The following is a 21934-nucleotide window of genomic DNA, read 5'->3' as shown; positions in this document are numbered from 1 at the left end:
TTATAAGAAGCAAACCTTTATCTATGTACATTTGCTTTCTACTTTCTATTGAGTTATTAAACATCCTTTGCAAACCAACCAAAGAGCTTGTAGGAAATGACACATGGAATCAAATACAGGCATACCTCAGAGACGTTATGGGAGTTTAGTTCCAGATTACCACAATAAAGGGAGTCACACATACTTTTTGGTTTCCCAGTGCATATAAAAGTTGTGTTTACTTTATACTATAGTCTATTTAGTGTGCAATAGCATTAGGTCTAAACAAACAACAATGTACTTACAAGAGCTGGAAAGATGGCTGAATAGGAATAGCTCTGGTCTGCTGTTCCCAGTGAGATTGACACAGAAGGCAGGGGATTTCTGCGTTTCCCATTTCATCTCATTGGGACTGGTTGGACAGTGGGTGCAGCCCACAAAGGGTGAGCTAAAGCAGGGTGTGGCGTTGCCTCACCCAGGAAGCACAAGGGGTCAGGGGATTTCCCTTTCCTAGCCAAGGGAAGCCGTGAGAGACTGTACCACGAGGAACAGTACACTCTGGCCCAGATACTGCACTTCTCCCGCAGTCTTCACAACTGGTAAACCAGGAGATTCCCTCCAGTGCCTGGCTTGGTGTGTCCCACCCCCACAGAGCCCAGCAAGATACGATCCACTCCCACAGAGCCCAGCAAGATACGATCCACTGGCTTGAAAATCTCACTGCGAGTACAGCTGTCTGAGGTCCACCTGGGCCATTCGAGCTTCGTGAGGGGAGAGGCATCTGCCATTGCTGAGGCTAGAGTAGGCTGTTTGTTTTACCCTCACAGTGTAAACAAAGCCAGCAGGAAGTTCAAACAGGGCTGAGTCCACTGCAGCTCAGCAAGGCCAACTGCTTCTCTGGATTACTCCTCCCTGGGCAGGGCATCTCTGAAAGAAAGACAGCAGCCCCAATCACAGACTTACTTACAGATAAAACCCCCATCTCACTGGGACAAAGCACCTGGCGGAAGGGGCAGCTGTGGGCACAGCTTCAGCAGACGTAAACATCCCCACCTGGCAGCTCTGATGAGCGCAGCATTTCTCCCAGTGCAGTGTTCGAGCTCTGATAAGGGACAGACTCTCTCCTCAAGTGGGTCCCTGACCCCCATGTATCCTGACTGGGTGACACCTCACAGTAGGGGCTGACAGATACCTCATACAGGAGAACACTGGCTGGCATCTGGCAGGTGCTCCTCTGGGATGAAGCTTCCAGAGGAAGGAATAGGCAGCAATCTTTGCTGTTCTGAAGCCTCTGCTGATAATACCCAGGCAAACAGCGTCTGGAATAGACCTCCAGCAAACCTACAGCAGAGAGGCCTGGGTGTTTGTTAGAAGGAAAATAACAAACAGACAGACAGAAAGGAATAGCACGTCCACCCAGAGACCCCATCTGAAGGTCACCATCATCAAAGGTCAAAGGTAGATAAATCCACGAAGATGGGGAGAAACCAGCACAAAAAGGCTGAACATTCCAAAAACCAGCACGCCTCTTCTCCTCCAAAGGATCACAACTCCTCGCCAGCAAGGGAACAAAACAGGACAGAGAATGAGTTTGATAAATTGACAGATGTCAGCTTCAGAACGTGGGTAATAACAAACTCCTCCGAGCTAAGGGACCATGTTACTAATTTAATGCAAGGAAGCTAAGTACCTGGAAAAAAGGTTAGAGGAATTGCTAACTAGAATAAGCAGTTTAGAGAAAAACATAAATGACCTGATGGAGCTGAAAAACACAGCACAAGATCTTCGTGAAGCATACGCAAGTATCAATAGCCAAATCAATCAAGTGGAAGAACGGATGTCCGAGATTGAAGATCAACTCAATGAAATAAAGCATGAAGACAAGATTAGAGAAAAGAGTAAAAAGAAATGAACAAAGCCTCCGAGAAATATGGGACTATATGAAAACACCAAATTTACTTTGATTGGTTTACCTGAAAGTGAAGGGGAGAATGGAACCAAGTTGGAGAAAACTCTTCAGGATATCAGGATATTATCCAGAAGAACTTCCCCAACCTAGCAAGACAGGCCAACATTCAAATTCAGGAAATACTGAGAACACCACTAAGATATTCTTCGAGAAGAGCAACCCCAAGACACACAATGAATCATCAGATTCACCAAGCTTGAAACGAAGGAAAAAATGTTAAGGGCAGCCAGAGACAAATGTCGGCGTGCCCACAAAGGGAAGCACATCAGACTAACAGCAGGTCTCTCGACAGCAACCCTACAAGCCAGAAGACAGTGGGGCCAATATTCAACATTCCTAAAGAAAAGACTTTTCAACCCAGAATTTCATATCCAGCCAAACTAAGCTTCATAAGTGAAGGAGAAATAAAATCCTTTTCAGACAAGCAAATGCTGAGAGATTTTGTCACCACCAGGCCTGCCTTACAAGAGCTCCTGAAGGAAGCACTAAACATGGAAAGGAACAACTGGTACCAGCCACTGCAAAAACACACCAAATTGTAAAGACCATCGATGCTGGGAAGAAACTGCATCAATTAATAGTCAAATAACCAGCAAACATCATAATGACAGGATCAAATTCACACATAACCTTATTAACCTTAAATGTAAATAGGCTAAATGCCCCCAATTAAAAGACACACACTGGCCAATTGGATAAAGAGGAGTGAAGACCCATCAGTGTGCTGTATTCAGGAGACCCATCTCACATGCAAAGACACACATAGGCTCAAAATAAAGGGATGGAGGAATATTTACCAAGCAAATGGAAAGCAAAACAAAGCAGGGGATACAATCCTAGTCTCTGATAAAACGGACTTTAAACCAACAAAGAAGGGCATTACGTACAGAGGTCAATGCAATAAGAAGAGCTAAGTATCCTAAATATATATGAACCCTCTACAGGAGCATGCAGATTCATAAAGCAAGTTCTTAGAGACCTACAAAGAGACTTAGACTCCCACACAATAATAGTGGGAGACTTTAACACCCCACTGTCAATATTAGACAGATCAATGAGATAGAACATTAGCAAGGACATTCAGGACTTGAACACAGCTCTGGACCAAGCAGACCTAATAATACACATCTACAGAACTCTCCACCCAAATCAACAGAATTATACATTCTTCTCAGCACCAAATTGCACTTATTCTAACATTGACCACATATTGGAAGTAAAACACTCCTCAGCAAATGCAAAAGAACAGAAATCATAACAAACAGTCTCTCAGACCACAGTGCAATCAAATTAGAACTCAAGATTTAAAAAAAAAAACCACTCAAAACCACACAACTACATGGAAGCTGAACAACCTGCTCCTGAATGACTACTGGGTAAATAACAGAATGAAGGCAGAAATAAAGATGTTCTTTGAAGCCAATGAGAACAAAGACACAATGTACCAGAATCTCTGGGACACATTTAAAGCAGTGTGTAGAGAGAAATTTATAGCACTAAATGCCCACAAGAGAAAGCAGGAAAGATCTAAAATCGACACCCTAACATCACAATTGAACTAGAGTAACAAGAGCAAACAAATTCAAAAGCTAACAGAAGACAAGAAATAACTAAGAACACTACAGAACTGAAGGAGATAGAGACACGAAAAACCCTTCAAAAAATCAATGAATCCAGGAGCTGGCTTTTGGAAAAGATCAACAAAATAGATAGAAAAGACAGAAGACTCAAACAGACACAATAAAAAAGGACAAAGGGGAAATCACCACTGATCCCACACAAATACAAACTACCATCAGAGAATACTATCAACACCTCTATGCAAATAAACTAGAAAATCTAGAAGAAATGGATAAATTCCTGGAGACGTACACCCTCCCAAGACTAAACCAGGAAGAAGTTGAATCTCTGCATAGACCAATAACAAGTTCTGAAATTGAGGCAGTAATTAATAGCCTAGCAACCAAAAAAAGTCCAGGACCAGACGAATTCTACCAGAGGTACAAAGAGGAATTGGTACCATTCCTTCTGAAACTATTGCAAACAATACAAAAAGAGGGACTCCTTCCTAACTCATTTTATGAGGCCAGCATCATCCTGATACCAAAACCTGGCAGAGACACAACAAAAAAGAAAATTCCAGGCCAATATCCCTGATGAACATCGATGCCAAAATCCTCAATAAAATACTGGCAAACCGAATCCAGCAGCACATCAAAAAGCTTATCCACCACGATCAAGTCGGCTTCATCCCTGGGATGCAAGGCTTGTTCAACATACACAAATCAATGAACGTAATCCATCACATACACAGAGCCAATGACAAAAACCACATGATTATCTCAATAGATGCAGAAAAGGCCTTTGGCAAAATTCATGAGCCCTTTATGCTAACAACTCTCAAAAAACTAGGTACTGATGGAACGTATCTCAAAAGAAGAAGAGCTATTTATGACAAACGCACAGCCACTATCCTACAGAATGGGCAAAAACTGGAAGCACTCCCTTTGAAAAGTAGCACAAGAGAGGGATGCCCTCTCTCACTGCTCCTATTCAACACAGTATTGGAAGTTCTGGCCAAGGCAGTCAGGCAACAGAAAGAAATAAATGTTATTCAATTAGAAAAAGTGGAAGTCAAATTGTCTCTGTTTGCACATGACAACATTGTATATTTAGAAAACCCCATCATCTCATCCCAAAATCTCCTTAAGCTGATAAGCAACTTCAGGAAAGTCTCAGGATACAAAATCAATGTGCAAAAATCACAAGCATTCCTATACACCAATAATAGCCAAATCACGAGTGAACTCCCATTCACAATTGCTTCAAAAAAGATAAAATACCTAGGAGTCCAACTTAACAAGGAATGTGAAGGACCTCTTCAAGGAGAACTACAAACCACTGTTCAATGAAACAAGAGAGGACACAAATGGAAGAACATTCCATGCTCACGGATAGGAAGAATCAATATCGTGAAAATGGCCATACTGCCCAAGGTAATTTATAGATTCAATGCCATCCCCATCAAGCTACCAATGACTTTCTTCACAGAATGGGAAAAAACTACTTTAAATTTGACATGGAACCAAAAAAGAGCCCACAAAGCCAAGACAATCCTAAGCAAAAAGAACAAGGCTTGAGAGATCATGCTACCTGACTTCAAACAAGGCTACAGTAACCAAAACAGCATGGTACTGGTACCAAAACAGAGATATAGACCAATGGAACAGAACAGAGGCCTCAGAAGTAACACCACACATCTGCAAACATCTTATCTTTGACAAACCTGAGGGAAAACAAGAATGGGGAAAGGCTCCTCTATTTAATAAATGGTGTTGGGAAAACTGGCTGGCCATATGCAGAAAACTGAGACTGGATCCCTTCCTTATACAAAAATTAACTCAAGATGGATTAAAGACTTAAACCTAAGATGTAAAATGATGAAAACCCCTAGAAGAAAACCTAGGCAATACCATTCAGGACATAGGTATACACAAAGACTTCAGGACTAAAACACCAAAAGCAATGGCAACTAAAGCCAAAAGTGGCAAATGGGATCTAATTAAACTAAAGAGCTTCTGCACAGCATAAAAAACTACCATCAGAGTGAACAGGCAACCTACAGAATGGGAGGAAATTTTTGCTATCTATCCATCTGACAAAGGGCTAATATCCAGAATCTACAAAGAACTTAAACAAATTTACAGGAAAACAACAACCTCATCAAAAAGTGGGCGAAGGATATGAACAGACACTTCTCAAAAGAAGACACTGATGCGGCAGACAAACATATGAAAAAATGCTCACTATCACTGGTCATTAGAGAAATGCAAATCAAAACCACAATGAGATACCATCTTACACCAATTAGAATGTCGATCATTAAAAAGTCAGGAAACAACAGATGCTGGGGAGGATGTGGAGAAATAGGAATGCTTTTACACTGTTGGTGGGTGTGTAAATTAGTTAAACCAGTGTGGAAGACAGTTTGGTGATTCCTCAAGGATCTAGAACCAGAAATACCATTTGACCCAGCAATCCCATTACTGAGTGTATACCCAAAGGATTGTAAATCATTCTACTACAAAGACACATGCACACATATGTTTATTGTGGCACTATTCACAATAGCAAAGACTTGTAAGCAACCCAAATGTCCATCAATGATAGATTGGATAAAGAAAATGCGGCACATATACACCATGGAATACTGTGCAGCCATAAAAAAGGATGAGTTCATGTCCTTTGCAGGGACATGGATGAAGCTGGAAACCATCATTCTCAGCAAACTAACACAGGAACAGAAAATCAAACGCCGCATATTCTCACTTATAAGTGGGAGTGGAATAGTGAGAACACGTGGACGCAGGGAAGCGAACATCACACACCAGGGCCTGCCAGGGGGTGGGGGCCTGGGGGAGGGATAGCATCAGGAGATATACCTAATGTAGATGATGGGTTGATGGGTGCAGTAAACCACCCTGGTGCATTTATACCTATGTAACAAACCAGCACTTTTTTCTCATCTACCCCAGAACTTAAAGTTTAAAAAAAAAAAAAAATGCTAATCATCATCTGAGCCTCCGGTAAGTTTTAATCTTTTTGCTGGTTGAGGGTCTTGCCTCTATTTTGATGGCTGCTGACTAATCGATGGGCGGTGGTTTCTGAAGGGTGAGGTGGCTGTAGCAATTTCTTAAAAGAAAATAATAATGAAGTTTGCCACATCAAGTGACTAAGTGACAAAGTCAAGAGCCTTCTCTGCACCATGCAATGTTGTTTGATAGCATTTTACTCACAGTAGAACTTCTTTCAAAATTGGAGTCATTCCTCTGCAACCCTGCTGCTTTTCTATTAACTTTGTTTATGTACTATTCTAAATCCTTTGTTGTCATTTCCACAGTGTTCACAGCATCTTCATGAGTATATTCCATCTTGAGAAGCCACTTTCTTTGCTCATCCGTAAGGAACAACTCCTCATGTATTCAGGTTTTATCATGAGATTGCAGCAGTTCAGTCCCATCTCCTGGCTCCACTTCTAGTTCTAGTTATCTTGCTATTCCACCATTTTTGCAATTTCTTCCTCTACTGAAGTCTTGAACCCCTCAAAGTCATCCATGAAGATTGGAATCAACTTCTTCCAAACTCCTGTTACTGTTGATAATTTGATCTTCTCCCGTGAATCACAAATGTTTTTAATGGCATATAGAATGGTGAATTACTTCCAGTAAATTTTCAATTTACTTTGCCCAGACCTATCAGAGAAATCACTATCTATCTATAGAATGTATAGCCTTATAAAATGTAGTTCTTAAATAACAAAACTTTAAAGTTGAAATTCCTCCTTGATCCATTGGGCTGCAGAATCAATATTGTGTTCACAGGCATGAGAACATTAATCTCCTTGTACATTCCACCAGAGCTCTTGGGTAACAAGGTATGTTGTCAATGAGCAGTATTATCTTGAAAAGAATCTTTTATTCTAAGCAGTAGGTCTCAAGAGTGGCCTTAAAATGTTCAGTCAACCATGCTATAAACGGATGTCTTATCATCCATTCTTTCTTGTTCCATTTATAGAACTGGGCTATTTGGTACAAGAGGTCGAGCTTTCAGCCTGTCTTGATGTTCAACGTGCCTTCCTTACTAAAACTTAATTTTTTCAAGCTTTTGACTTAAAATGAGAGATGTATAACTCTTCCTTTCACTTGAGTATATTTAGTGTAATTCTTGAGAGCCCTAGGATTTTCAAATGGTAAATGAGCTTTGGCTTCAGCTTAATGTCACCAGCTGCATGAGCCCCTAACAAGAGAGTCAGCCTGTTCTTTGAAGTTCTGAAGTCAGGCATTGACTCCTCCTCTGTAGCTATCAAAGTCTTAGATGACAACTTCTTCCAATATAATGATGTTTGTCTACATTGAAGATCTCTTTTTTAATGTAGCCACCTTCATCAATGATCTTAGCTAGATATTCTGGATAACTTGCTACAGCTTCTGTAACAGCACTTATTGCTTCACCTTGCACTTTTATGTTATGGGGTTGGCTTCCTTCCTTAAACCTCATAAGCCAACCTGTGCTAACTTCAAACTTTTCTTCTGCAGCCTCCTCACCTCCCAGCCTTCATAGAATTGAAGAGAGTTAGGGCCTTGCTCTGGCCTAGGCTTTGATTTAAGGGAATGTTGTAAATGATTTGATCTTCTATGCAGGCCTTTAAAACTTTCTTCATATCAGCAGTAAAGCTGTTCTACTTCCTTATCATTCATGTGTTCACTGGAGTAGCACTTTTAATTTCCTTCAGGAACTTTGCATTCACAACTAGGCTGTTTGGTGCGAGAGGCCTAGCTTTCAGCACATCTGGGCTTTAAGCTTAATTATTTCTAGTTTGTGATTTAAAGTTAGTTAGATACACGCGACTCTCCCTTTCACTTGAACACTTAGAGGCCATTGTAGGGTTATTAACTGGCCTAATTTCGATATTGTTGTGTCTCAAGGAATAGGGAGGCCTGAGGAGAAAAAGACAGATGGGGAAACTGCTGGTTGGTGAAGCAGTCATAACACACACATTTGTCAATTAAGTGTTTGTTGTCTTATGGTCATGGTTCATGGCACCCCAAACCAATTGCAGTAGTAACATCAAAGATCAGTGATCACAGATCACTTTAACAGATGTAATAGTATGAAAAAATTTGAAATATTACAAGAATTACCAAACTGCTACACAGAGACACAAACCAAGTATGTGCTGGTGGAAAAATGGCACCAATATACTTGTTCAATGCAAGATTGACACAGACGTTCAATTTGTGAAAAACACAGTATCTGCAAAACTCCATAAAGTATAGCACAATAAAACAGTGTATACCCATATTCAGACAAAGTAGATGGTATATATTGGGATTGAATTACCTGGATATTTCTTTTATCTTTACTCATAATTTGCCCAAATGCTAATTTAAACTTTTCTAAAATAATCTCTAAGGAAAAGAGTATCTTTAATTTAATACATCTTCTTAACTTTAGGCATCCTTATATGTATAGGTACATAAATGTGTTATGTGTGCCTGTTCTCATTGTTTTTGTCATAAAATAATTTTAATATTCCTTTAGTATAATGCTAAAGGAATTGCGATGCATATACCTTTTATATATATATATATATATATATATATATATATATATATACACACACACACACACACACACACACAAAGAAGACTTCTATATATTTCCTCTTATTTAGGAATGTTCTGAAAATACCACTTTTCTTATTTATAACTTATTAAAGTAAGATGATAAAACCAGTAAATTGAAAAGTTGTGAGTCCAATGTCTGTTCTTTTTTTGAAAATACTTAGTAGAAAGTAACCCAATGTTTTTGTTGCATTCGAGCTATCAAATCAAGGTAAGATAGACTCTGGCAAGGTAAGATAGACTCTGGAGTACCTAGATCATTCAACAAAAAGATAATAAATCTCAGTTTCTCACAACTAAGAGAGACTTTCAAGGTTAAAAGGGACCTTCAAGGTCATCTGCTTCATCTTAACAGAAGGTTTCACTGCCGCTAGACATCTTCAATCACTTCTTAAAGACTGACTCCGCTTGGATTTTCAAACCTCACTTAACATTTCTGTTTAGACTGTAGAAACCCCATTTATAAAGGGACACACTATTTATATATGCCTGTCAGCTACACCCTCCAGTAAATGAATCCATCTATTTTCTACAGCCCGTGCCCAAGTGTTACACATGCTGTTTAATTAGGATCCAAAAATGCAGGGATTTTTCAGATTATTCACTGTTTCCCTCATTATCTGAACTTCCCATTGCTTTCCTCCTTAAGTGCACAAGAGCTATGAATTAATTTTCTTTCTTGCTACCGTGAAGATTCTGGAGTTATCTTAAAACAATGAAGACAACAGAGAGAAACTCAAAACCTTTCTAATGTGGTTTTAGTTGCTGATCATGTAAAAATGGTAGCTAAGTTCAGAGATCAATGGCTCTTAACCATTTTTTTTTAAGATTAGAGACCCCTGTGAGAATCTGTTGAAAGTTCTAAGTCTCAAGAAATAAGAAAACAACATAGTATTTACTTCATGTGTACGTACACTTACAGGATAGTCATAAACCCTCCTGAAGACTAAGTGAAAATCACGTATATACCCTGTTATACCATCTCTTTTCTCATAATAAAACCAGTGTAAACATTTGACTAGTTATAGGCAAATACATTTAGGTTATGGGCATCGCATATGTATTTTAAGTAACTGCAAAATGTGAACAGTGTGATAGAAAAGTTGAAGATGCCAAATTCACTTCACCTTATTCTGAATTATTTCATACTTTAAAAATATTAAGTAGGCAGGTTGTAAATTTCAGAATCTCCATGAATATTATAAACCTATATGTTATTTACCCTTTCTTTTCATTTGTTATGTTTCCTTGGTCTTTCTAAAATGGTATAAATCCCCATTGAAAAGACCTTTTATTAGACTTACTCCTAATTACTTCATCCTCATTATCACATGCTGTTACAACTCAGTATCCCAAGAGTAATCATTTGATGAATGTGATACCATGTTTTCCTGAATATGGCTATAAAGAGATACGGAGTGTGGAAGCTGGTAGAAGTATGTCCACACCCAAGCAAATGTGGCCAAGACTGTGAACATCTCACCCAGTAACATCGCCTTTGTTATTGTGGCAGCGCGGGCGTTGGAAGAACTGGAGTCTTCATAACGCTAAGCATTGTTTTGGAAAGAATGAGATATGAAGGAGTTGTAGATATCTTCCAGACTGTCAAAATGTTAAGAACACAACGACCAGCTATGGTACAGACAGAGGTGAGAAAATCCATTGCATTTTTCGCATCTCAAGAGCCTACGTTTTGCTAGCCTGGACCTCCCGGACTCCATACTCTCTCAACACCAGACACAAAATACTGTGGGGAAAGCATCAAACTGTTTAATAATTTTGAACCTCATTTTCCCCCTTTTTAAATGGGATGAGATTATTAGTGTCTTAGTGTTGCTATAGAAATTATGTGAGATTATATGTTAGATTGAGCTATGTTAAATTTTACTACTGGACCATTTTTGACCAATAAAATGGCAATTTCATAAAATTCGTTATATTCATAGTCCTATAATATAAATATATAAATATATAGAAAGCATAATATTTAGTACATAATATAATCTCAGCCCATTTAACTTCTCCATTCTCCCTCTGTATGCCTACAGAGGTATCAGCTCTTCTATATTTCATGTCTTAACAATGGCCATTCAAAACATTTTGATTCTGGATAAGCCTAGAGATATTAATATTAGCCCCTCATTTCCTATTCCAATAATTAATATGGAAATTTGGATATTTCTCGTAATAATAAGAGTTTATGATATAGCCAGTCTGGTCTATTGAGCATTCATTTCTAAAGATAATATTACTGATAGAGTTTATGTTCTGCAAAAGGCCACCAAATTATACAACTTATATGTGTTCCTCAATTCATCATCCACAGTATCTTTCAGACGGATTTCAAAGTAGTGCAAGTGTTTGGCTTGCAATAGTCAAAACATTATGCCAGCTTGACAAACTTAATGGGTCTTAGGGGTTACAGAGGGAAATTGGACATTTAAAAAGCCTTAACACTCAGCCAAGCAACTTACTGTGACAAGATAGGAAAGTAAACACCATTTATTTTGCATTACCAACCATTTTTATTACAGAAAAATGCACATTTAAGCAAAATAGAAACTATCTGTCTACTTTCAGCCCGATTGGCCACTGAAAATAGGTTTCTTTTATGGGGAAAATCCTTTTCCTCATCCCTATAGAGAGCTGTAAATTGTGATTTTTCCATCTCTCCAACAATGCTTCAATTTATTCCAATATGATAGTGTTCTTCGTTGTCTGAAAAAGGCCATGCTTCATACTGCTTTTTTTTAGTGTGTGCCTCTCTAAAACAGACAACTAGCAATCACACAGAATTGGGCTGAATTTACAGGTATTTTTTGATGTGGGCAGCCAGTCCTGTGAAGCCATTTTCAGGGATGGAAAGCTTGGAAGTCCAGTGCCCTGTGTAAATGGATTTGTGTGCCTGGTGTGCCGCACCAGCTACCTTCTGGCTGTATATGAACATCATATGTAAGTGAGAGAGACAGCCAAAGGGTAGCTGAAATGACTGTGAGTGATTCTCACTGCAAGCTCTACTGTCCAAACATAATTTTTTAAAAATTCAAATTCTGTTGGCAGTAGTTCAGAAGATAAGTAAATTCAGATTTTTCTCAGGACAGTTTGTGTCTGTATCAGCCTCTCTTAAATATTTAAACTGAGAATTAGTTATCTTGAATAAGCAGATAATTGTAAAGGATGATTTTCATCATTATCTGCTTATAAGGCATGTAAGAAGTTTATGTGTTCAATTGGTGGTAATGGTTTGATACTACTTGGAAAACACTTGTCTGGGAAGGTAATGTTCACTCGACCTGCCACTGCTTGGAATTGGGAGATCGTTTTAGTCAAATTGATTGGCAAAGTTAATCAACACCCCATGTGGCTTTTTCTTTGTTCACTATAAACAATTGGTCATTGGATTAGACCAGTTGACGAAAGTAGTGATTTTGCCCCTATATAGATGTTATTTTGTTATGCAATATTGATTTTTATTTTTCTATTAAAATATGCTCATGGTCCCTTCTTTTGCTTCTCCCCATTCATTGTCTCCTGCAGGATCAATATCAGTTTTCCTATCGTGCCGCACTAGAGTACCTGGGCAGCTTTGACCACTATGCAACGTAGAAACCCCTGACCCATTCTGGATTTTTACTACAGGCCCTTCAATATCCATGGAGTCTCTTCTGAGCCATACAGGGCACTTGAGAAGTCCTTCTTAACTTCTAGCTAACAACTACTTAGTGGGACTATTACACACAAAACAAATTAAAAACAAATTATTCCAGGTGGACCAAGAATTCACAGTTTAATAATCTAACCTGAAAAATAATGAAGAGAATCCTGACTGATGAGGCATCTGAAGGATTTTATTTACAGATACCTCAAGGATTCAAAATCAAGGGAAGAAGAAATCACAGCAAAGAACCACCATCTTATTCAGGATTGCTTGAAAGGTGCAAGGAGAAATTGCCAGAATGCTGCAGTTCAGCACAAGATATGTGCTGGTGTGGCTTCTCACAATGAAACGGACTCTGCTTTGACATCGCCCCTTCCCACCATACTGCTCATAATAACATTTTAGGGGGAAAGGGGAGGGAATGTTTAAAAAGAAAGTCCTTGATTTAGTTTTTTAGTATTGTAAAGATACTGCTGACCTGTGCTTCATTTCTAACTGTGTAAACTTTTTTTTAACAAAATGTATCATTCGATAAAGTGAATTTTAAAAAAGTTACATAACTCTTCATTTTTTTATTTCCAAATCGTAGGTTTTTTTAAGCTGTAGAACTGTTATCTGTAATATCTTGCTGTAGAAATATCAAATCATTTGAAAATTTGCACATTTTTGTGCAAAACTCAATCTACAGTATCAGTCTCGTCAGATATATTAATTTTACACTTCAGTTTTGATTGGTGAGAAAGTACCCATTCTCTTCAAATAATCAAAGATAATTATTATTTTGTTTTGTTTTTGGAATCAACAGGGAGGCGCAAAGTATAAAGTTGCTGCTAACATATATACATATATATCCATATTTTATAAGGGTGTCTATGTATATATAGACAGTGTGTCCACACAAAAAATAGATACAGTTATCAGTCAGTCAGTTCTTCCATGATTTAGTTTTTTTAAACGTAGAAAAGCTATTGTAAACATCTCTTTCCATTTATTCTTAATTTTTTGACATATTGGTATTTCTTTAAAGGGAAATGAGGAATGCACATCAGTGATTGATTGTCAAACCTCACCCCCTGATTTCCTACCTAATCTACCCCCACCTAACCAATCAATCACATCCACAAATTGTTTTGTTTGTTTGTTAGTCAGGCTTCCAACAAAGTTCAATATTTCTAACACTCTAGTGCAATAAAAATTATTATTAAATAGCTAAGAGGTGTGCATGTGGGAAAGGTCAGTGCATATCCCTTTAGGAGGGGAGAATGTTGTAATATATCAGCTATCGAGTTGTTTAAAAAAAGTGTATTCAATCGTATATTGTCTATAGTATGTGCTATGAAATTTGCATTTATGATATGTAACAGGGGCAAAGCCAAATTCATGTTACTCTGTTCAGTCAGAAACATTTTGTGGCATACAGCATTCCTGGGAAGTGCTGTACTTTGTTTCGTTTTGGTTTTAGTTTTGCATTTAGAGTGCCTTATAATTGATGCCTATTTTAATAGCATTTCTTTTTAGCTTTTGGTTCGTATTTCCATTCACTGTTCGTATCTGTTACTTTCTATTAAAGCATTATCTGTTTACCACATGTACAAAAACTCTTTGAATAATATGCATTCCTAGTTTTCAGCCAAGTCGGGGATGTTAGTGATTGTACCAGCCCAAAGCACTTGGATAATCAGGGCCCTTCTTCCTTTTATAATCAATCATCAACATCAGAAAAAGCTACTTGTTTTATTTATATTCCCTTCCAAATCCGCTCTGGAACATGCAGTAACTGCACCAAACTTATTTTAGTAACAAATATCATTGGCAACTTTGGAATATATTTGATATTCCATTAGGATTTTTCTAAAAGGGGAAATAAACTATATATATATATGTATCTTACCCCCAATTCTTCCAACAGAATTTCTATAGGAAGCCATGGATGATGGCATAAGTTTGCCACATATTACATGATTTTAAATAATCCTCAAAATACCCAAGGAACTCTTAAAGAGTTTTGGTATGAGTATACTACTTTGGTTTAATTTTAGCTTCATGGATGTTCTGCATGGAAGGATTTTTGTTTTCCACATTTTCCCATTGCTAGCAGAGTGAAATCCAAGAGACCAAACATTTGCAAGCATTGTATTTGAGCACTTTTGTAAAAAACAAAGAAAAAGAAAAAAAAGAAAATATATATAATACTAAAAAAAAGTATCTAGAAGGCTACCTCAGAATGAGACTCTCTAACCTACATCAGAACCAGAGAAGAATGTGCACTATGTGGGTCTGTTATCATTATTTTCTTTTAGTTTGTATCTTTTTGGAGATTTATCCAAGTGCCAGATTACTCAGTGCTATAATTTTCTTTTAGTTAAACAAAGGGGGTCAGACAGACATTGCATCATCCAGACATGCCTTGTTGGACATGTAGAATCCGATGGAGCACTGCACACCAGAATGATTGGCCAATGAGCAGCTTCTCTCCCTGAAACAATAACTGCCCATTTGGCAAAGGGAAAGATGACAATAATCAGAAGAAGAAAATGAATGGGATGCATACCATAGACGAACGAGGCGGAGACTATTGCGGGAATCTTACTGTTCAGGAGCTGTTCCTAGAACTAACTCCCTTACTGTCATTGATGTGCATTCCACTCTGTGCTTTTCTGTACAACCATTCAAGTTTTAATTTCCCAGGTGAACCATCTTTATCTGCCATTACCACAAGCTTTCAAGTTTCCAGTTATTTTCATCATCATAACCAGTACGGTGCTATTATTTACCTATGTACGTGTAGTTATGTATAATTTTGTAATTAGTTACAATGGTAAAAAAAATCAAAATATATAAAAAGTGATTTGTACAGAACTTTATTTTAGCTCTTTTTTAAAAATGATTTGCATGGTTAGAAAACGGCGAGGACAGCCAGGGGAGGGAAGGGCCTCTAGGGAACTTTGCACTTTCTATACCTTTGTACTATGCACTGCCCTATTGATTCTACACCCAATAATGATATTACTTGAACCCATCTGTAAGAAACTGCTTCGGAAATTCATTTGTGTGTATGTAAATAACACAACATAGAAACAGGAAGGGAAAAAAGTCTGCAGTAATGCACGTATTTTTTTTCTTTCCTGTTTATTTTCGGTTTTGCTTTAAGTCCTTTTATTTTTAATTCCCTTTTTGTTTTTCTTTTTGGGTTTTGGTTCCTTTTGGGTTTATGGGTGCCCTGATACTCCAGCAGAGATCAGAAGGCTACAGATCCATTCTATCCATCCGTTATGTGGCTTTGCCATCCCAGCTTGGAGTGTCTTTACAAAGATAATAACAGTTGTGTTCTTTGCTCTCGTTTTGGATGCATAGACTGAAAAATTAAAACAAATAACTTGTAAAATGGCTTGTTAAAAAATACAATTACCTCTAATTAGTAGTACGCGTAAATGTTTTACAGAATGAAAGGCGTGCTTTTTATTTTCTTACTTCGTTACATTGGTGGCGAAAGAAGTCTGTATGAAAATCAGTTCTTTGCTGACACAAGTTCCATTTGTTACAAATGAATTCTAATAAAAATGTCAGTGTTATGCAGCCCTGGCCTTTGCTTTTGTCCATGCAAACACTTTGGTTTTGAACTGACTATTTGTTCTCTCTTCTCTTCTGGTTATCTAGTTAGTTCCTTGTACTAGTAAGAATTCTGTTTACCGAGAGACTACTGTTTACAAATATCTACCTTGAGGTAAGCACTTTTCACTGGTAAGCAAACAGAGACTCAGAGAAATAGTTTTTCCAAGTTCACAGAACAAAGAGGCATTGCTTTCATTCATATCAGAGATCACAGGCAATCTTTGATTCTGTGGAAGATTACTATATAGAAATTTAAGTGCACAACTGTATATATACATCTATATGTATGTATGTATTTTCATCTCGAAACAACTTTCATGCACATAAAAATAGCTCCATAGTGTTAATTTATTCATACCTTTGGGAACATGGCTAAGAAAATACTTGGTTTGCGTTATTTATTCAGTAATTCAATATGATCAAGTACCAATAATGGGTCAGAATTGTTCTAGGTATTGGAAATGCAGCTCTGAACAAATGAGATACTGCTGCTGTTTGCATACAGACTACAGTCTACTGAGAGAGGTTGGCACTGAAGTAATAGTAACATCACATGGGACCAGTGCTATGAAGGAAAGTGTAGGATCCTTGAAGTTAGGACTTTCAATTGTGAGTGACAGAAAGTCTGACTCAAATTGGTCTACAGGAAAAGAAAGGCGTTTACTGACTCATGTACTAAAAGATTAGGAATGGACTCATTTACTAGAAGAGTAGGAATACATCATCTTCAGGCATAACTTGATTCAGGGCTCAGTGATGCCTTCAGGACGTGATGTCTCTTCCCATCATCCAGCCTGATTCTACTTTCACAGTTTCAATTTTAAACTCCCTTTTTGTAGTCCCTGGAAGCTTTGGGATCATAACACCACAGAGCAGACAAGTGGAAGAGTTTACTTCCCCCAACAACACAACCAAAAGTCCTAGAATGGAGTGAATTCTTCTTGATCCTAATTGAACCTGTCTTGGGGTAAGCGATGATCTCAGGAACACAAGTATGGACAGAAGGCGAGAATGTGTGCATTGAGTTATCAAATCCAGAAGGGTTTAAGGTGGCTGTCCCTTTGCCAAACCCCAGTGAATATTGTGGGACCAACAACTGGCTGCTGATCAGCCTAATTTGTTAACATAAGGCAAAGCACAGGTATGCTTGGTAATGTTAAAACTACTTGTTAGAAATGATGACAGAATAAAACAATTCCATTATCCAAACATTATTTTGGAAATCCTGTTATTGAATGAACAACCAGACTCCTCTTTTTCCACTTCACCTAATTGGCTTTTACTTTTGCAGATATGACCACCCTATTGATTGATTGTGTAAAAACAGGACAGAGACTTCGAAGTGTATCAGATTTGATATTTTGTTCCTTGTGATTCATAACTTTAAACAGATATCTGATAGAATACCAAGAATAACAAATATGATCTGATTGTATACATGTACACACACACACAGAATTAATAGTTAATAATAACTATAAGCTTGGGACTTTCACTTAATTGTATCCATAATTAAACTTTATGAGAATTTTAATTACAATAATTGGTAAAATTATGAATCTGAGAAATATTTAACTTTATAATGTTTAAAATAATTTCTGCAAATTCTGAGGAAATAGGCAAAGACCTGTGAAATCTTGTGTTTAATAATACAAAAAGACTTAAAATATGTAAAATTGTGTATGTGTAAAAATGTTTTACAGTTATATATACAATACATATATGTAATGTATATATTACATGTAATTTTACATATATTATTTTACATACACACCATAATGCCATTTATAATGCATTAGCATTTCACTATTAAATAGTGTTTTGGAAAAAAGATAGCTACATTAAAAATTATTATAATATACTTTTCAAGAAGGGATATAAAATTATGTACACATCTTAAAGCAAAGAAGTGACTGGAAAGAAATATAATTATTAAATGATACTGTGTGATAAAATTTTGTTGCTGCACTTCGTACATTTTCTAAAATTTTTACAATAAGTATTTCAAAATAGCAAATTGTGGGTGCTTTGAAATATGTGAGAAGATAGAATAATTTTTAAAAAATCAATTTACAAGGCAAGAATGAAGAGAAAAGAGAATCTAGGACAGGAGGGGGCAAATAGAAAGTAATATGGGAGATTTAAAATTTAAAACAGTAATTACTTCAAATGTAAATAAAGTATATTCAACTTAAAGATGCAGATTTTTAGCCTAGCTATATAATGCTTGTAAGAACATGAGGCTACTCAAAGTAAAAGGATGCAAAAGATATACCATGGAAACATAGCCAAAAGAAAGCTATACTGAGTTATATTAATATCAGCCATACCATTACCAAATAATAAAAGGGTCAGTTTCCGATGAAAAACTTCAATGCACCAGGAAGATGTGACAATTATATGTGTGTATGAACCTCATAACATGGCCTCAAAATGTAGACAACAAAAATAGAACTTAAAGGAGTTACATACATATCTACAGCTATCATGGGAGATTTTAAACGCTTCTCTTATTAACGTATAAAATGAACAAACCAAATAAAACTTCAGTAAGGGTATAAAAGATATGAACAAGCTGATTAACAAAATTTACCTAAGTGAGCTATGTAGACGACTAAATTCAATAACTTAAAAATATACATTATTTATAAAAGCATTTAAAACATTTACCTAAATTAACTAGAAATTGGACCATAAAGCAAGTCTCAACATATTTGAAGAGTTGTAATAATGTGAAATATGTTCTTTGGCCACAGTAATAGTTAAACTAGACATCAATAACAAAGATAGTTAGAAAAGCCCTCTATGTAGTAATTAAGAAATAACTTTTAAAAGCCAATAGCTCACAGAAAAAAAATCCCAATGGAAATAATAAATTATGATAAAATTATGAAATTATATCAAAATTTATGGGTTTTACAGTGAAATTTATAGCTTTCAATGCATATGTTAGAAAATGAGAAAGGCTAAAAGCTAATGATCTTATTTTTTACAAATTAAAAAAACAACAGCTAATTGCCCCTCAAGAAAGAAGGAAATAAAAAAGACAAGAGAAAAAAATTAATTGCAAACAATTATTCAATAGAGGATAGCAACAAAGATTAAAGTTAAAAGTTGATTATTTGAAAGGCAATGAAATTGATAAACCCTAGCAAAATGATTTAAACAAAAGCAATGGACAAATCATTCACATCAGAAACTTGAAAGGAGTATAGTGCTTCAGCTCTTACCAATATTAACCATTATAACAAAGGTTCCATGTCACATAAATCAATTAAAAAAAACCAGAATATCCAATGTAATTAGGCATTAGGCCTAAAAAGATACTTCACAGAAAAAGGATAGCTAAATTGCTCAAAAATATGTGAAGAAGTACTCAGTTTTACAAGTAATCAAGGAAATGCAAATTAAAGCTACAATGTGGCACAGCTACATGCTCACAAGAACAGCTAATATTAAAAAGACTAGCAATACCAAGTGTTGGTGAGAATGTGGAGTAATACATCTGTCACACAATGCTTGCTAGAGTGCAATTTTACAAGCACTCTGAAATATTATTGAGTATTACATATTAAAGTAGGATATAAGCACATTTTATTCAGTAGCTATACCAATTGTAGCTATGTAACAAGTAGAAATGCATGCACGTGTGAATGAGAGACATAAATAATAGTTTGTCCATTTCAACATTACTCATAGAGCCAAGAACTCTAACATAAGTTTCTGTCAACAATGAAATGGATAAATACATGGTGGTATAATGACACAATGAAACACTATACAGCAGTGAATGAGTTTGGCAAACACAACATTGAGCAAAAAATGCCATACACAAAAAATGTATACTGTATACCTGGTAGTTTTGGGGAGCAGAAAGGTAGGTACTGATTAGGAGAACAAAAAGCACATTTCCGTTGTGCTAGTAATTTTTTTTTTAATTAGATTTCATTTCAAAAGTGTTTGCTTTTTAGTAGTAAAACTACTTTTCAGTAAAAAAAAGTAAAGGAGCTGTACCTTTACTTTTGTGCATTTTTCCTATTTTTATATGTCAATAAAGTTTAATTAATGACTCTTACCTATGCATATATATACACATGGCTAAAATAAGTTAGTATTAAAAATATGAAAGCCTGCCATACTTTGGATGGTGAACATCTGTTCTGTATCATTACTGAAAATGAAAAAAAAAAAACTATGTTTAAAATTCCACTTATAGATCTTGAAATTGAAATGTAGAAGTATGTCCAGTTGATGATAAGTATCATTGTGAAGAATTGCTAACAAGGCTATAGACCACTTATTTTGGGGGGCAGGTGGCAAGCATGTAATCATAGGGTTAGACTGAAAATTATTGATGAAAATGTAAAAAAAAAAAAAAAAAAAAAAGCAAGCATTCAGCTGTGTTTGTCAATATACAGGATCCAGCTCACTGTCAGACCTCAGAGGATCTTGGGAATGACATGCAATTACATATAATGTTTATGTGGTAGTGACTACTCAATCATAGCTGGGTGAGCTATTAAATGATGCTACCATTTGTTAAATAAATTTTTCTTGTTAAATTTTGGGGCAACCAAAATAATTTTTGTCTCTCAATTTATTTATTATAAACATTGTCTTTCTACTGATAATTGGAAATAAAGGAGATAGATGAGACATAGGGACTTTTTCACTCTGGGTTAGATCATGAAAGTTAAAGTATTGGGTTTGAACTGCATAAAAAAACAAACAAAATGTGTGTGTCATGATTCTAGATTGTCCTAACCTATCCAGCAAGTTCAAAACTGTGAACTATTGGCTAACAGACAAGCATGAGAGTATGGCTGGATAAATGCTAGATTTATATCATTTGAGAGAAAATTAACTAAAAGTACAAAGTCTATTGACTATGAAAATATCATGTAGAAGGAAAAAAAACAAAAATCCTAAAAGGGGTTCTGGGAAGGTGGTGGAATAGGAAGCCCTAGTAATTTCCCTATCTAGAAAAAAATTGCACTGACAGAATATGATGTAACTATTTTGAAATTCTGGAGTCTATCGAAGGCTTGCAACTTCAAAGAGAAGGCTTGGATAGTAAACTGTAATTAGTTTTAGCCCATTTCAGCTCTTTGCACAGTAGCAGCCACCTATCCCCCACCCTCAGCCCCATGGCAGCTGTGCATGTGTTCCTGGAGCAACCTGCACACAGCTTGTAGGAGTCAGGATGAGCAAAAAAAATACCCTATTCTCCAAATAGCAGGCATCTGTGTTCTGACCACCAATTGCTGCATTTAGTTAGAGAGGTGTAGAAAAACAGGCCAGCGGCTGTTGTTGTTTGTCCTATGTTTGTGAGCCTCTCTCTCTCCAGCTGAAGTGAACTCAAAGACATGTAGAGGGCCAGTGCTCTTTTTACTCTTATTTTTCCCTTTTGTGAGTCAGATATTAAAAAACATTAAAAAACAACTGTACATACAGGAAAAATTAGAAAGTGACCATACATACCCAGGAAAAAGCACAGGATCAGAAAATATCCAAAAAGACCTTAAGTTTATA

The 21934-nt window shown here is 36.6% G+C and overlaps 1 protein-coding gene across 55 annotated transcripts in view; it reads left to right on the top strand.

Annotated features, from left to right (window-relative positions):
- The window catches only part of PTPRD (protein tyrosine phosphatase receptor type D), a 2298757-nt gene extending 2282391 nt beyond the window's left edge, over window positions 1-16366 (top strand). For all 55 annotated transcript variants that reach the window (NM_002839.4, XM_017014961.3, XM_006716827.5 and 52 more), the window contains 2 exons: window positions 10646-10781; window positions 12670-16366. In NM_002839.4, coding sequence (NP_002830.1) covers window positions 10646-10781; window positions 12670-12738 — 205 coding nt within the window. In that variant the 3' untranslated portion in view covers window positions 12739-16366. The remainder of the gene's footprint in view (window positions 1-10645; window positions 10782-12669) is intronic.

This window comes from Homo sapiens, chromosome 9, assembly GCF_000001405.40.
Source record: "Homo sapiens chromosome 9, GRCh38.p14 Primary Assembly".
Classification (NCBI taxonomy): domain Eukaryota; kingdom Metazoa; phylum Chordata; class Mammalia; order Primates; family Hominidae; genus Homo; species Homo sapiens.
This window is presented reverse-complemented; position numbering and strand designations above follow the sequence as displayed.